The 17,757-nt window shown below is 43.8% G+C and overlaps 1 long non-coding RNA gene across 1 annotated transcript in view; it reads right to left on the reverse strand.

Moving 5' to 3' along the window:
- LOC105375343 (uncharacterized) overlaps nt 1-7,858 on the reverse strand; it is a 34,334-nt gene extending 26,476 nt beyond the window's left edge. Inside the window, exons 1-2 of the long non-coding RNA XR_927647.1 lie at nt 7,772-7,858; nt 3,627-3,781 (exon numbers count right to left, since the gene is read on the reverse strand). This is a non-coding gene — a long non-coding RNA (uncharacterized LOC105375343). The remainder of the gene's footprint in view (nt 1-3,626; nt 3,782-7,771) is intronic.
- Between the last annotated feature and the right edge of the window lie 9,899 nt (nt 7,859-17,757).

Genomic DNA, 17,757 nt, shown 5'->3' on the forward strand with positions numbered 1-17,757 from the left:
TAAGAAATTAAGATCTTCCATCCCCTGAGTTTTCCCATGAAACCCAAAGTGAATCTAAAAAGTCCCCAAAATCTTTCTGGAGCAGATGTTCAAAGCGTCCCAGGCTGTAGTTCTGTAGTTCTCTGAGCTACAAGTTTCACCCCTCACTTGGGCTAAAATTCCCCCTTTAATGTCTCCAGGGCACTCATGGCAAACCCTCAATTCCCACCTCGCTCCCCCGTCAAAAAGCTGCTTGCTTTTTGCCTCAGAAACCTGGAAAAAGTGAAGAGCAGGTGGTTTTGGAGTGTCAGAACTGAAAACGAATGTTTAGCCTTGGAATGAAGAGGGAGCTGGTAGGCACAGGAGACTGAGATCTCAAGACGGCTCTTCTAGCACACATAGAAGGAAAGAGCTATGCCCCAGTATCCAAGGGCACTTCTAAGATGCTACTTAATCCTGTTATGTCTGGTAGTCATGGGCAGTGGACAAGAAAGAAGGACAGGAACACAATACAGCCATGGTCTTTTCCTACCCAACCCCACCCTGTGACCCCACCTGTCCACATTCAGCACAAGCTTAGTGAATGCAATTAAACTTCCATGCCCAATCCACTGGAAACTGGAAATGTGGCTTGTAAATGACCCACCTTCTTCTGCTATGATGGTGCCTATTGAAGCCAGTATTGCACTCTGTAACAACCAGCGGGGAACTATGGAAAAGGCAAGACTTGGAAGGACCAGGGACCAGAGCTTATATCCTGCATCGGGGTGGTCTCACATCTCACCATTTAGGATATGCCTCAGCAAAATTTAATTTTAATGTACCGTTACAGAAGCTTTCGTTGAAAACTCCAATCCCTGCAGACTTGCTATTGGCCCTGGAGTCATAGCATTGCCTTGTTTCTTGGCTGAGGCAGCCCTGGGCATGACTTGAAGTTCCCGTGGTCCTGGAAGTTTCTGTTGCAAGCTATCACTGCCTCTACAGACCTGGCAGCACTGTGGCAGGTACTACTGTCACTAGCAGGAATGGCCAAAGAGCATCTTGCCTCATACCTGTGCCCTGTACCTCTTTCTCTGTCATTCCAGGGCTCCCACATTGCTGTTGGGGTACAGGATGCCTCAGGACCCACTAAGCACTTAGCCTGGAAATTCTGGGTAAACTTTGAACAGTGGAAGACAGATGTCAATAGATCATTTCTTTCATCCCTTTCCCTCTTGGCAACGTGGCCTCTCTGAAGACAACCCGAGAAACTGAGATATCACCATTGACGTTGTGCAAAGTGGGCAATACATGTCCTTATATTTGCTCTCCCTCCTTTTGGGCTGACTCCTGCTACCCTGGGATGGCACTCCCCAATAACGTGTTGAGCTTTAAGCCCTGAAGCTTAAGACACTATTCTTTAAAAGTGAGTTTTGGCTGGGAGCAGTGGCTCACACCTGTAATTCCAGTGCTTTGGGAGGTCAAGGCAGGAGGATCACTTGAGGCCAGGAGTTTGAGACCAGCCTGGGCAACATAGTGAGACCCCATCTCTAAAAAAATATAAAAATTATCTGAGAATGGTGGTACACGCCTGTAGTCCCAGCTACTCAGGAGTCTGGAGCAGGAGGACCGCTTGAGACCAAGAGTTGGAGGATGCAGTGAGCTAGAATCACACCACTGCACTCCATCCTGAGTGACAGAACGGGACCCTAAAAAAAATGGGTTTTATCTTTGTCACTTTGTGCTGCCACCTTTAGAAACTGCCCTCCTAGTTTTATGGGCCATGAGCCCAAACCAACGCTGACCACTCACACAGTACTCCAGCCCACCCCTTCCCCAGTCCCACCCTCACACTAAATCCATTAGAGAACTAAGCAATAGATTATGTACAAAACAAAGACTCAGCTTCAACTTCTGCAAAAGAGCTTTCTACTTGAGCATGCCACAAACATACTTTTGTCCTGTAGCCAGAAAGGGAACACTGAAGAATCTGTTTTCAAGCAAAGTCTCGTTCAACAAAATATGAGCTAAGGGGGAAGGAGTGGCACCATGCTTCAAGGCAGATTGTCATCACAAATTAAAGCATTTTAACACTCAAATATAATAGCTTATTTTCTGACAGCTGGGTGGCTTCCTCAGATTTTATTAACAAGAAAAAAAATTAATTGTATAAAATCAGAATGTTTGAAAGTAATTTCTCTCATCACACATAAGGGTGATATAAAACAGAGATATAATAGAAAATTAAAAACTTTGCTAGTCCACTAGGTATTATGTCACATCTTATGGTCCTGAATCACTAGATTTCAAAAAAAGAAAAGCAAATGAAGTTACTATTATGGCTTTTTTTTTGGAAGACGGAATCTCGCTCTGTCACCTAGGCTGGAGTGCAGTGGTACGATCTTAGCTCACTGCAGCCTCAATCTCTCAGGCTCAAGTGATCCTCCCACCTCAGCCCCTCGAGTAGCTGGGACTACAGGTGCGAGCCACCATGCCCTACTAATTTTTGTATTTTTAGTAGAGACAGGGTTTCACCATGTTACCCAGGCTGGTCTCGAACTCCTGACATCAAGTGATCCTCCCAGCTCGGCCTCCCAGAGTGCTGTGATTACACAGGAGTGAGCCATGGTGCCTGGCCTAAAATAAAATATTTTTACATGAAATATTTTCTTTAATGATTAGAATTTTAATTAATAGACAGAAACACAGGAGGATATTATATAGCCCTAGTGGCCATTCTCTTCTATATCGAATGTTGCCACCTCATGATTAGGAACAGAGAGGTCTTGTGATGTTTGTTGGTTCTTTAATAAACCACAAGACATGAGTTTTTCTTTTTATTTTCTTTCTTTTTTTTTTTTTTTGAAGTGGGATCTCACTCTGTTGCCCAGACTAGAGTACAGTAGCTCCATCATAGCTCACTGCAGCCTCCATCTCCTGGGCTCAAGGGATCCTCCCAGCTCAGTCACCTGAGTAGCTGAGACTAGAGGCATGCCGGCCACCATGCTTGGCTAATGTTTGTATTTTTTGTAGAGACAGACAGGGTCTTGCTGTGTTGCCCAGGCTGGTCTTGAACTCCTGAGCTCAAGCAATATAATCACCTCGGGGTCTCACTATGTTGCCCAGGCTGGATATGAGTGTTTCTATGGGAACATTTATGTCTTTTTCATAAATTCGTTCTCCTTTTTCAATGATGCTAAATATACAGCACAAATATCAATACTAACATGAAATTTGAAAGGAGACGTGTGCTTTATACAAGCAAATGTGGTCAGTCATTGCTATTTATCCAACTTTTCAAACAGACTCACAAAGATAAGCATGGAAGATTACAACTACACAAGTGTGCTAAATGTGCTGCCTCATGTGAGATCCTGAATAGGTGGAAGATAGGTAGATACCCTCCATTCATTCAAAGGGACAAACAAAAACATTTACTGAGCATGGCTATCTCCCAGACACTGGACTTATCATTCTATATACATTATTTCCTCTGACTCTGTAATAGTTAGGGTAACGTTAGCTGCTCTAACAAATAAACCCCCCAAGTCTCCGTGGATCATCACCCTCTCCTCTAATTATCTACTGTAGATGTTCCTGGTTAATGCACATATTTTTTCCATACAGTGAATCCAGGACTTGGTTTTTTTTCCATCTGTGGCCTCCACCTGTATCTCCCAGGATCCTGGAGTCTTCTTCGGTTTTCTCCCAGTTGGCAGGCAAGAGAAGAAGACGTGGAGGAGGCATCCAGTCGTCTAAATGTGTTGGCTCATATGTACACAGATCACGCCTGTCCACGTGGTGAGCCTAGTTCCAGCCTCACCTGGATACAAGATGAGAACCAGCAAATGCATCACCTGGTTAGACGCCACCCAGAAACAACTGTACATTACATAAAGGGAAGTGCATGTTTTAGGGCAAAACTAGCCATCTCTGCAACAAATGCTCTCTCTTTCTCTCTCTTCCTCCTTCCTTTTCTCCCTCTCTCTCCCCCTCTCTCCCTCCCTCTCTTCCTCCCTGTATCTCTCTCCCTCCTCCTTCCTCCCTCTTCTTTTTTTCTCTCTCTCTCCCTCATTCTCTCTCCCTCTTTCTCTCTCTCAAACACATATACCTACAGCTGTGCACACACAAACAAACACTATGAAGTCGGCATATTTTCTTTTCCATTTTACTAATGACAAAATGAACCAAGAGAAGTCTTATACATTCTCTGAGGTCTCAGAGTAAATGGGTTGTGATAATAATCCCAGTCTGGGAGACTCTAAAATCCTGACTCTTTCTAATGTATCATGTGATTTATAACAATAATTTGTACAGCCCCTTTGATAGAAAAGTGCTTAGGGCTTATTGGGAACTGGTGTGTGAAGTGACATGTCCTCCCTCAGTTCATATAAATAATGTATTTCTTACCATCTTACCAATCAATTTGGATTGAATTAGTATGTATCCCAAAGGGCTTGAACAAACGACATATTTATTTATTTACTTATGAGGTTTTTTTTTTCAGATTCATTTTAGAGAACAGCAAAATATTTTTATAGCATAATTTTTAACATGGCAAAAATTATTTTACAAGATACATTGGTTTGGTTGTAATTTGAATGGAATACTTATATTCATAATGTTTTAAACAACTTTGATTCGGTTTATGGTTCACTAAAAATAAAAGCGATACTTGGAATTGGTTCTGCCTAGGTTCAGGAAATTAATGTGGTTAGTTCTGGTTTATAGTTCAATGGAGTTCTGGGTCCTGGTAAAAACAGAGTCTCATTTCAAGCAAAATAGATTGCTACATGTTTTTAAAAATATCTTTCACTGTAAAGTTGTTTCCTTGTGCTTTGAGGCAGTACATCTTTGATAAGATGAACAGCCCTGGGCCAGGTGTGGTGGCTCATGCCTGTAAGCCCAGCACTTTGGGAGACCGAGGCAGGAGAATCACTTGAGGCCAGGAGCTCGAGACAAGACTGGGCAAGATAGAGAGACCCTGTCTTACACAAAAATAAAAAAAAATATATTAGCCAAGCATGGTGGTGATCGCCTGTAGATGCGGCTATTTGAGAGGCTGAGGCAGGAGGACGGCTTGAGCCCAGGAATTCAAGGCTGCAGTGAGCTATGATGGTGCCAGTGCACTCCAGCCTGGGTGACACAGCAAGACCCTGTCTCAAAAAGAGTGGTATTTCTGAGTTGAGGTTTCCGGAGAACCTCACCTGGAAAGTAAGCATGAACATGTTCCAGCTATTTGGATCAGTATAATGAGCCAATCCAAAACTTAGTGACATAAAACAGCCATTGCATTATGCTCATGGATTCTGTAGGTCTGAAATTTAAGAAGGACACTGGAGAACAGCTTGTCTCTGTTCTACAATGTCTGGGGCCTCAGCTAGAAAGCCTCGAAGGCTGTGAGTGACATGACAGCTAGAGGCTGAAACCATTTGAAGAAATCTGGGGGTTGATACTGACTAGGACCTCAGATGAATCTGTTGGCTAGGACATCACCATGTGACCTCCCCACATGGCCTGGGTTTTCTCATTGCATGGTGGCTGCATTCCAAGAGCAAATATCTCAAGAGAACAAAGCAGAAGTGAAGGACATTTTAATGACCTACTTGAGAAATCATATGGCATCATTTCCACCATCCTCTATTGGTGGAGGTGTTACAGGAAATGGCTCCCGATCCCAATCCCAAGACCCTGAGTGAGGGTTCTTGGATCTCACACAAGAAAGAATTCAGGGTGAGTCCACAGTGCAAAGCAAAAACAAGTTTATCAAGAAAGTAGAAGAATAAAAGAACGGCGGCCAGGCACGATGGCTCATGCCTGTAATCCCAGCACTTTGGGAGGCCGAGGTGGGTGGGTGACCTGAGGTCAGAAGTTCGAGATCAGCCTGGCCAACATGGTGAAACCCCATCTCTACTAAAAACAGAAAAAAATTAGCTTGGCGTGGTGGCAGGCGCCTGTAGTCCCAACTACTCAGGAGGCTGAGGCAGGAGAATCACTTGAACCCAGGGCGGAGCTTGCAGTGAGCCAAGGTTGTGCCATTGCACTCCAGCCTGGGCGAGAGAGCAAGACTCCATCTCAAAAAAAAAAAAAAAAAAAAAAAAAAGAATGCTACTCCATAGACAGAGCAGACCTGAGGGCTGCTGGTTGCCCATTTTTATGGTTATTTCTTGATGATATGCTAAACAACGGGTGGATTTTTCATGCCTCCCTTTTTAGACCATATAGGGTAACTTCCTGACATTGTCATGGCATTTGTAAACTGTCATGGTGCTGATGGGAGTGTAGCAACAAGGATGACCAGAGGTCACTCTTATTGCCATCTTGGTTTTGTTGGGTCTTAGCCAGCTTCTTTACTGCAAACTGTTTTATCAGCAAGGTTTTTATGACCTGTATCTTGAGCTGACCTCCTATTTCATTCTGTGACTTAGAATGCCTTACCTGTCTGGGAATGCAGCCCAGTAGGTCTCAGCCTCATTTTACCCAGCTCCTATTCAAGATGGAGTTGCTCTGGTTCAGACGCCTCTGACAGAGGCAATTGCAAAGCTCTTCCTAGGCTCCAGGCTAGGAGACAGGGAACACATCATTAAATGAAAGGGTTGTCAAGGTCACATGTTGGAAGAGGCTGCGGGAGGGGAGAGATTGCTCTATCTTTGGAAAATACAGTCTACTATCAGGAATTCAAGTGATACAGTCAAGAAGGTGGCAGCTGCCTCTCCACTGTTTCTCTTAAGTTGCTGCTGTTCCCTGAATCACCGCAGGTGTGGCCATGCTTCTTCACCATTCTTCCCCACAGTGGAAGCCAGGCCAGACTATAATGCTTGATGGACTTCGAGAAAGGCTTGGAATTAACAAGAGAATGACAATGCTGACAACTTCCCTCTATAGACTAGCTGTAGCTGTTCTCAGATGCACAGACTTGGCCCCTGAAGAGTAGAACTCTCATTCCCAAGGTCCTGGAATGCCACCAGGTTGTAAGAGTCAGCCTCTCTCCCAACAGCAGCAATACCCAGGAAGGTAGCTCCTCCACTCAACATCCAGGACATAGTTCTCTGAGGCACAAGTAAAGTCTGTGGTCTCCCACTCCAATCTGTCCTTCTCACCCCAAGCTGGTTGGCAGTGGAATACATCCCTTCAAATTTAAGATCTAATCATTGGGTTCCCCCAAAAAAACATCAGAACACTTCAGTATGATATTGTCTATTTCTCAGAGCATAGAGCATTGAATACTGAGTCCACCAGGTATGGGGCTTCCAAAGAATAGTCCAGGCTAGGTTTCAGCCATTCTGTTCAGGCCCTTGGTATTCTCATCCAGCAGAAAGGTAAGAACATGTCTTCCTCTGTCTTCCAGGTTGAGCTCACAATTTCCTGTGAGCAAATGCATAGGAATACATACACCCACAGCTTCTATATAATCACAGCCAATATATAATCACACTTGACACTCAAAATTACCTATTGCAATAGGTATTCATTTTGCATACTAGGAAACAAAGGCTTAGCAGAAGTGAAGGGGCATGTTCAAGTGTCTTAAACTAGGATTAATAGCTTAGCCTCTAACTCCCAGTTTTTCTCTCCCTTGGACTACATTGGCAGTGCAGATTCAGAAATTGTAATTTTGAGTCTCACGCCCATGAGTCAATATTTCCTACTTGATATTAACCAATTCATCATTTCCTTTACAGGAGCCTTTGCCACGGGTTGTAGGTAGCTCCCCTATCTCCCTCCTCCCTCTCCAACCCTCCCTTTTGAGGCCATCAATTTATTTCCCATCATTATCGCTTTGGTTTTCAGTTTTCCCTAAGTGATAGAATACCTTGTATCCCAAAGAGAAATGCCGCTACTCTGCGAAGCCAGCCTTTGAGTCTCTTTTTAAAGAGAGTTCCTACAGTGTGGCAGATTTTAATGACCTCCATCTCTCATGCCTGCATTAGGTCACCTGAGCCACGCTGCTCAAAATGGTCTAACCACCTCATAATGCAGGCCGAGGCAGGCTCAGACTCACTGTGGGGCACCCGGCCTAATTCATTATACTACTCAAAGCCATATATCACAGGATTCTCCCACCTTTTCTCCCTTCCCTCCTACCAAAAGGAGAGCTCACATGAAATCTATTTACATGGAATGATTATTCAATTAATTTTTTCATTACATTTGCCGGAAAGCATTGCCAGGATTTCTAAAGCTGTCCTGTGTGTTTGCATTAATGATGGCAGTGGTTCATGATACTTAATTTAGCAATCGTGGCCCATTTGGAGGTCATGCCCTGCCATATGCAGACTGGAGACAGTGGAGGGGTGGCTTCCTGGTCAGGAACACGTGAGTGCCTGACACGTGTTTAGGAAATGGAGGTATTAACATCTCTGCAAGCTGTCCCCACTGCTCCATCCCCACTGTGGTAAGCCTTAACACAAGCTTGGACCCATGTCCTTTCTAGCCCTAATTCCTTTCTCTGTCTGTTTGATGCCTTCCAACCCAAGGGGGAAGCTGAAGCAGGAGGATCTCTTGAGCCCAGGAGTTCAAGGCTGCAGTGAGCTATAATCACACCACTGCACTCCAGCCTGGGGGCTGGAGTAAGACCCTGTCTCAAATAAATAACTAAAGTGTACATCTGACTTTGTGGCTCCCTTGTCTCATACACATCAGTGGTACCCAGTGGCCCAGGGAATAGAATCCAAGCTGCTGGCTTGCCTTGCATGCAATACTCTTTGTGATCCAGCCTTGACCCCCCTGGCCTCAGCTCTCACTACCTACTCTCCCAAGATGAGATCCACGTTTCAACCCAACACCACTAAACCACCACAACTTCTCAGACATACAAGCCCTCCCTGGTGCCCACACTATTCCCTCTGCCTTGAAATGTCCTTTACCTTCTTGACCACCTGGAAAATGTGCTCCCATTATCGAATACCCAGCTCAAATATCACTTCTTTGGAGATGATTGCTTACACCTCCAGAGAAGGTCTAGCAATCCTTCTCTGTGGCCTCCAAGCACATTGTACATGCTTTAATCACAGCCCTTACCTCATATTCTAATTACTTGCTTAGAGTTCTGGTCATCCTTTCTTCTTCTTTTTTTTTTTTTTCTTTTCAATAGAGACAGGGTCTCACTCTGTTACCCCAGCTGGAGTGCAACGGTGTGATCATAGCTCACTGCAGCTTGGATCTCCTGGGCTCAAGGGATCCTTCCGCTCTCAGCCTCCCAAGCAGCTGGGACTGCCACCATGCCCAGCTAATTTTAAAAAAAATTTTTTAGGGACAAGGTCTCACTATGTTATCCAGGTTAGTCTCAAACTCCTGGCCTCAAGTGATCCTCCTGCCTTAGCCTCCCAAAGCACTGGAATTACAGGCATGAACCACCATGCCCAACCGCTGGTCACTCTTTCTTGTACTCCTAATATGGGGACATTCAAATGAGTACTTTTAAAAAAATACGGATTATTTGTAATTCAACTAGACCTATGGAGAAGCCCAGGAATTGGTGTTTTTAAGTTTCCAAAGCTGTTTTCTTTTGCTACCAGCCTGGCAAAATCCATGAACCTTGAGTTTGGGAACAACCACCCCAGCATGTGGCCTGCCTCAGCCCAGACGTCTGATGATTGCTCCCTGGATGAATGGAGGAAAGTGTATCTGTTGAGCAGGTGGGGTCACAGAGGAAGGTTATGCTGATGAAGGTGAGGAGAGTAGCTGGCCTTTCCTTCCTCTGACCATTATAGGCCAATGCTGATCTAAGACAGATCCTAGTTCTACAAACCCATTTAAAAAGAAACGGATGATTGATGGGCATTTCGAGTGGATAAAGAAACTGTGATATATATATATATGATGGAATACTACTCACCCATAATAAGGAATGAATTAATGGCATTCACAGCAACCTGGATGAGATTGGAGACTATTATTCTAAGTGAAATAATTCAGGAATGGAAAACCAAACATCATATGTTCTCACTCATAAGTGGGTGCTAAGCTATGAGGATGCAAAGGCATAAGAATGACACAATGGACTTTGGGGACTCAGAGGGGAGAGTGAGAAGGGGGTGAGGGATAAAAGACTACAAATTGGGTGCAGCATATACTGCTTCGGTGATGGGTGCACCAAATCTCACAGATCATCACTGAAAAACTTACTCACGTACCCAAATACCACCTGTTCCCCAATAATCTATGGAAATAAAAAATTTTTTTAAAAAAGAAATGGGTGAGACATCAATTTGGGTCTCATTTAAGTGCACTTTGACTTCTAGGTTCCAAATACAGTGTATCCCATCACCCTCACATCTGCCCTTTCCTGTGGGTTCCTTGTCCTTAGCCCACACAGCCTCAGGATCTACTGCTGAAAGTCCAAGGATGCCTGTGGAAATCCCAGCCCCCGCTCACTTTGTCCAGGCACTGGGAGACCCTCCCAGATCCACTGGCCCTCTGGGCTGTAAACCAACATTGTAAATGTCACCTCCTGTTCTACTGTGGCTGAAGTTAAGCCGCCTAGACTGCTTCTGCTTCCTTTCTGGAGGGCCGACATTTCAGGGGGCTTGTTCATGGCTCCCGAATTGTCTTCCCCTCCTGGATTTACTTAGAGAAAGCAAGCTCCTTCTGAAGCACTGAGTAACTGATTATAAGACTTTTGCTGGTCAGGCGTTCATCATTGGTTTGGCAATATCCTCACTGGATGGATAGAAACCTTTCCCTGTGAGGACCGGCGAGTGGAGTGGGGAATTTGTCTCTCCTTGTGGCTACGGAAATGGCTGCTAAGTTCACGTTGGAAACTGTGATGCCTTTGTGAAAAGAACTGGTCCTCCCTACCATGCAGGGTTGGGGCAACCTCTGCGCATTGTTGACATAAGGTTCACAGAATTCGCTGTCTGCTGGGTGCTGTCTCCTGGCTGCCTCCCAGGTCATTGAAATGCCTGCCACCGACACCACCATAAGCTTCCTGACTTGGACACTTTACCTTCCTAGAAGTAACCAATATATTTTTAGGGACTGAGCTCTTAGCTAAGTCATCATTACCCATCATGCCCTAGGTGAGAACATTCCAGGGAAACCTAGAAAATTATAGGGAAATCAAAAAAATATGAGAAAAAGTGGAAAAAACTAACATTTGATGAGTTTCTCTTCAGTGCCTGGGATAAAACTATATCCTTCTACTAAAGGTTTACAACTACCTCCTGACAAAGGTAGTATTCTCCCCGTTTATGCATAGGGAAACTGAGGCTCCTATGGGCTGGGTTACTTGCCTGATTTTGTATGGATGTCAAGGCCATGGCTATCTGACCCCCAAAGCCTTAATCTTTTCATTATTCAATCCTTTCTCCAAGTGGGTCCTTCCAGCAGGGCCTGAAGTAAAAGTCTGAGGTTTTGTGTACCTATTGGGCATTTTAATTTGGGAAAATCATGTAAAGAAAGAGACAGTGCTTGGAGTACACATTCCCAAGGCTTCAGCAGCGTGAGACCTCAAGGTTCTAGAAGAGTGAGCTCCAGAGGGCTCAAGGCTCAAGACCCCTTCACTACTGAGCTCTGGAAGCTCAGCCCTCTCTGATCCTCTGGCGAACACACGGAGAGGCAATTGGCCAATTCATTTCTTTGGAAAGAGCCAGCTGTGAGAATTCAAAATTGAACACACATTTATTAAGAACATACACTGTGCAGGTATTGAACTATGGGACAGAAATGGGGCGAAGAAGGAGAAAATTCAAAAGAATGATTAGATGAAGATGTCTGTATTAGTCTGTTTTCATGCGCTAATAAAGACATCCCTGAGACTGGGTAACTTATAAAGAAAAAAGAGGTTTAATAGACTCACAGTTCCACGTGGCTGGGGAGGCCTCACAATCATGGTGGAAGGCAGAAGGTGAAAGGCGCTTCTCACCTGGTGGCAGACAAGAGAGAATGAAGACCAAGTGAAAGGGGTTTCCCCTTATAAAACCATCAGCTCTCGTGAGACTTATTCAATACCATGAGAACAGTATGGGGGAAACTGCCCCCATGATTCAATTATCTCCCACAGGCTCCCTCCAACAGCATGTGGGAATTATGGGAGCTACAATTCAGATGAGACTTGGGTAGGGACACAATCAAATCATATCAATGTCTTCAAGGAGACAGAGAGAGGATAGACTCACAAAGGCATAACTACAATAAGCCTGAGAGTCTCCCTGCATTCTGATAACTAGAAATGTGCTTAAAATGTGGGAGTGAGTCCACAAGGGGCAATTCATTCTGGTGGGCAAAAGGGGTGTAGGGAAAACAGGCATTTGAAGAATGAAGAGAACATTCCCCCGCTGTGGCCCCAGCCTGTGTGAGGGTAGCTGGCGGGATATGGGCCTCCGGAGTGGTCAATTCCCTCCCATCCACATAAAGGTGGCAGGTGATTATTTTATGTCCCCAGGCAGATTTATTTAACTTCTTTTTGGTAGAGACATATAAATGTGATCATAGTCCCTGCTGTAAAGTTTTGCAGGCCCTTTTAAAAACTTGGGCTCTTAATTCACTTCATTGCCTACCGGGGACAGTGGAGTCTTCCACGGATACTTCAGGGGGAGAAAGGAGGCGGGACTTTCATCAGCACCAGTCCTGTCTCCTGAGGGGCCTTCTCCTTTGCTTCCTTCCTGCTCCCCTCCCTTCCCCCTCCCCCTCCCCTCCTCTCCCCTCCCCTCCTCTCCTCTCCTCTCCCCTTCCCTCTCCTCTGGACTTTGTGAAATCTGGGTGGTAAAGTCAGCTGGCCAGCCACAAAAAGACATGGGAGTCCTTTGTGATGTGTAGGATGGTTTCGTGAAGGTCCTTCTGCTTTCTGCTGTCAGGATGCCCATCACTTTCTGCCTCAGCCTCCCAGGAATCACCACCTGTGGGCAACCATCTCAGTTCCTCTCTTGGGGATTAGCAAAGACTCCGCAGTCATCGGGTCAGTAGACCAGTTCTCTGTTTCCCAGACACAAAGCCAGGAATTCCAATGCTAGTCTTTAAGCTACTCGATGGCCAAGGTTCCTCTTCCATTATCTAACTAAACACAAGGTTAACCTATAACTTTCCTATAACTTGAGCTCACTGGTCTTCATCTGAAACTGTCAGGGGAATCTGTGAAATGTCTCCTGATGTTATGGAAAAGGCCATATGGCCTTCTGCCTGTGTCACTGAAGAAGGAAAACCAAGAGCTCTTTAATCTCCTTTGCATTGTTATTAAAATTAATATGTGGGCCGGGCACGGTGGCTCACTCCTGGAATCCCAGCACTTTGGCAGGCCAAAGCAGACGGATCACTTGAGGCCAGGAGTGTGAGACCAGCCTGGCCAACATGGTGAAACCCCATCACTACTAAAAATACAAAATTTAGCCAGGCATGGTGGCAAAGGCCTGTAATCCCAGCTACTCAGGAGGCTGAGGCAGGAGAATCACTTGAACCTGGGAGGCAGAGGTTGCAATAAGCCCAGATTGTGCCATTGCACTCCAGCCTGGGTGACAGAGTGAGACTCTGTCTCAAAAAAAAAAAAAAAAAAAAAAAAAAATTAGTATGTGATCTTTCTAGGAAATTTGAAATATTCTAGAATGTATTTAAAGAAAAAACTCACAACTTCACAATCCAGAGATAGTCACTGTTAACATGTTGGTAGATTTTCTTCACACATATACACATGATTTGCAATTTATTACTTTCTCCTGCTATTTTCATCAACTAGTCATCATAAGAAGCCCATCTAGCACAGCCATAGGCTCCTGTGAGAAATCTTGGCCCAGAATAGTCACTGATTGGCCTTTATTATCTTTGTTCTTGTATCTTATAAGTAGCAGCACAGAGAAGTCTATAGGAACAAGATGCTTGGAACTTTGGGGTTTGTGACATTGTACACATTAGATTTTAAAATGTGTAGGTTCTAAGTTAGGATTCAGTTAGGAATCTCTTGGTTGTGACAGAAAATATACTCAAAGTGCCTTAAGCAGAAGGGTTAAGGCACTTCAGGGATGTGTTGGTTCACACTACTAAAAATTCAGGGAGAAACAAATAATTAGACATGGTGGAATTCAGAGATTCACACTATGCCACTAAGACCTGGGCTTTCTCCACCTCAGCTCTGCTGCTGTGTGATTTCCAGCTCACCTTGGCTTTGTCTTCATGGTGGCAAAATGGCAGTGAGCTGCTCCAGGTTTGTCTTCATGACCTCATGGCTAGAAATCATGAAGATTTGAAGAAAATTTCAAATCAAGTTCTAGCCAAAGTCCCATATCATTGGGTTTGAAGCAGTCACCTGCTCATCTCTGAGCCAATCCCATGTCCCAGATGATATGGCTCTCTGATTGGCCAGACCTTTGACACATGCCCTTTCCTGGAGCCAATAGGAGTAGTCTCTGCCTCCAAACTTAATGGGCTAAGAAGGGAGAGGTCCTCCCCTGCAAGGAACTGGGGCACTATCACCAATGTTACAATCTTCTGAAGGAATCAGTGTTAATGACACAGTCCATTGCTGTGGTTGCTGCTACCATGTATGCAAAGGATTCCTGCTCACACCTCCAGGGGTGCTGATGCTGAGACATGAGTAGCAGGAGAGAAATACAACATGTGACTTTCTATCTTTTGATGAACGATACACTTCAAAGAAGACTTACAGAGTGATGCCTGACCCTCTTACCCTCAGCCCTAAGTTTCAAAACCCAGGTTAAATACCTTGCTAAATTCCACCTGCTTTGTGATATTGAATGAAGTCCAGCCTCTGGTCCCATCATCTAGCACAGCCATGGGCTCCTGTAAGAAGTCTTGGCCCAGAATAGTCACTGATTGGCCATTGCTTAACTCTTCCTTTGTTCTTGTATCCTGTTGGTAGCAGCAGAGAGAAATCTGCAGGAATAAAATGCTTGGGTCTTTGGGATTTGCGAGACTACACACATTAGATTTTAAAATGTATAGATTCTAAGACTTATCCAGATGTTAGTTTTCAATGTCTCGTTTGTCATTAGTTTCACTGTGTTTGCACACTTCTTGTAACATTTTTGAAAAATTTGAAAACTTTCAGTAAATGTCTTGGCACTAAAAAAGCAATGATAAAATAAAATGTATAAGTTCTAGATATGTGAGTGTTAGTGCCATGTAGAATATAGGAGGGCTCCCATCACAGCAATCAGAACAAAAGGAAAGGATGTTGGTGAACAAAAATAACCATGTGCACAGCAAGCATTTTCCCATGTCCTTAAACATTCTCTGAAAGCATGATTTTAATGGCTGCTTAATACACAATTATGAAATGCGCCATATTAACCAATCACTGTTGGATGCTTTTCTAGTTGTGTTTGTTTTCAACTGTTATAATATAATGCTATAAGGAACATCCTTACATATAAATCTTTAACTGCTTCTTTATTTTCTCAGAATAAATTCCCATCAGTGGAAGTATTTGGTGATAGCCTCAGAAAAGCATTAAATTACAGAACCACCCACTAGGTGTGTCCTGGATCTCACCTGACCCTTATCACAATGGAGAATCTGAATCTTGGCCATTCATTCAGACCGTCTTAATTTGCGCATTCCCTTGCTTTGTGAACATGAGGAAAAGAGAATACTGGGATTGAAGGGTAGTGTAAAGTAGATAACAGGCTACAAGTGATTTCTGCCATTCAGCCTTGGAAGAGTTAAAGTTAAATCTAAATAAGAAAGTGAAGTCAAAAGCTATAGTTTGTTGAGTTGTATATGGAATGAAGTCGTGACAATGTCCCTCCGGACTCCTTCTTGACGTGAAACTGCTCTGAACAGTGTGATATTGGTAGAACCTTCGGTTTTGGGCAAGTCAACTAGAAAAAATTCTTTTGTCCACCATTTAGTGTTTGTTAAAGTCAACTAAATATGTTAAATAAAATCTACTTTTTTCTATCTAATCATTCAAGCTACATAGAGACAAAATTTAATCCAGTGATTCATTCATTCAATAAATATTTCATAAGATTTTTATTTGAAAGACATTATTCTAGATACTTGAGGCTACAGAATTTGAAATGAAGAAAATGAATCTGCTTTCTTTTTTTTTTTTTTGAGATGGAGTTTTACTCTTGTTGCCCAGGTTGGAGTGCAATGGCACAATCTCAGCTCACTGCACCCTCCCCCTCCAAGTTCAAGCAATTCTCCTGCCTCAGCCTCCCAAGTAGCTGGGATTACAGGCAAGCCACCATGCCTGGCTAATTTTGTATTTTTACTGAGACGGGGTTTTTCCATGTTGGTCAGGCTGGTCTCAAACTCCCAACCTCAGGTGATCCACAAGCCTCAGCCTCCCAAAGTGCTGGGATTACAGGTGTGAGCCACCATGCCCGGCCTGAATCTACTTTCTAATAGCTAAGTGAATTATTCTACACATCAAGGAAGAAATCGGAAATATGTACATTACCCTTACTGGGATGAAATAGTTCCTAGGTAAAAATAAGACTTAGTGGAAATTAACTGATTTTATTTTATTAACTTATCCAGAGAAAGAATGTGTTAGACCAAAGGGAGATGTGATCACAGAACATAGAAAAGGGACTATGGGAGAGATTTATTTTGGCAATGCCCATCAGAGCACTCTTTTGGTATCCTAAGAAGTCCACAGAAACACATGATTTGTTTGATTTCTCTGCGGACATCAATGCATCGGACTATCACTGCCTGATAATATTAAACTTTCAAATCTGCCACCAAGTCCCCTTGCTCTGATCTCTCATAATCCATGCAACTTTCTGATAATTTGGCTTTCTATGTAGTTTCCCTAGATGGAGAAAATTTGCAGATCAGGCAAATGTGAATGTCTGCTCCTCTTGTAAGTTGTATTTCTCATCGTAAATTAGTGAATTGACATTTTGATTTATATACAAGAGATTCTTGTGAGCTGGGTTAATTTGCACCCTGAGAAATTACTCCACTTAATATGCTGAGAGAATCAAGCTTCTAAGCCCCTAAGGCTGAGGGTTAGAGTTACTAAAGTAGTACTATCCTATATAGCCACTGATGGCCAACCAACCTGCCTGATATGTGGACATTGTTCAACAAATGCTTCTTGACTTACATGGATTTGAATTGAATGGATTTGATTTAATTAAGGTTGGGTGAGAGATAAGGGCAGGCTCATCGACTTGGGAAGTCACCAGTACAGATCAGATGAATCTATATGAATAGAGGAGATTGTGCCAGAATCATGGAATTTGTCGAGGGGTGGAAAGGGGAGCTGATGGCAGTAACTTAGGGAATGCCCATTAGAAGGATCTGGAGGTGGGGCATGGTGGCTCACATCTTTAATCCCAGCACTTTGGGAGGCCAAGGTGGGAGGATCGCTTGAGCCCAGGAGTTCGAGACCAGCCTGGGCAACATAGTAATATCCCATTTCTATAAAAATTTTAAAAGTTAGCTGGGTGTGATGGCATGTGCCTGTAGTCCCCCAGCTACTTGGGAGGCTGAGATGGGAGGATCGCTTCAGCCTAGGAGGTGGAGGCTGCAGTGATATATGATCACGCCACTGCACTCCAGCCTGGGTGACAGGGTGTCTCAAAGAAAAAGTAGGGGGAATTTGGAAGAGGAAGAACAGTTACTGGGGCATGTGAAGTTGAGTAAGAGAGGAAATCTCAGTGGACTGAAGATAATATAAGGAAACACCCCAAATTCTACTGTGTTCTTCTCCATCTCTACCCCATCCACCAATTATCTACTGGCTTTAAAGGTTATTTATATAACCCTAAATTTTTAGCTCAAGCCTTGACCTTTTTCCTGGGTTCCAAACTCCTATATCCAACAGACTGTTTGCCATCTATGAGATTTCTAGGACTCCTTAACATACTTGAAACAGAACTATGGATGCTT

Source organism: Homo sapiens, chromosome 7 (assembly GCF_000001405.40).
Source record: "Homo sapiens chromosome 7, GRCh38.p14 Primary Assembly".
Classification (NCBI taxonomy): Eukaryota; Metazoa; Chordata; class Mammalia; order Primates; family Hominidae; genus Homo; species Homo sapiens.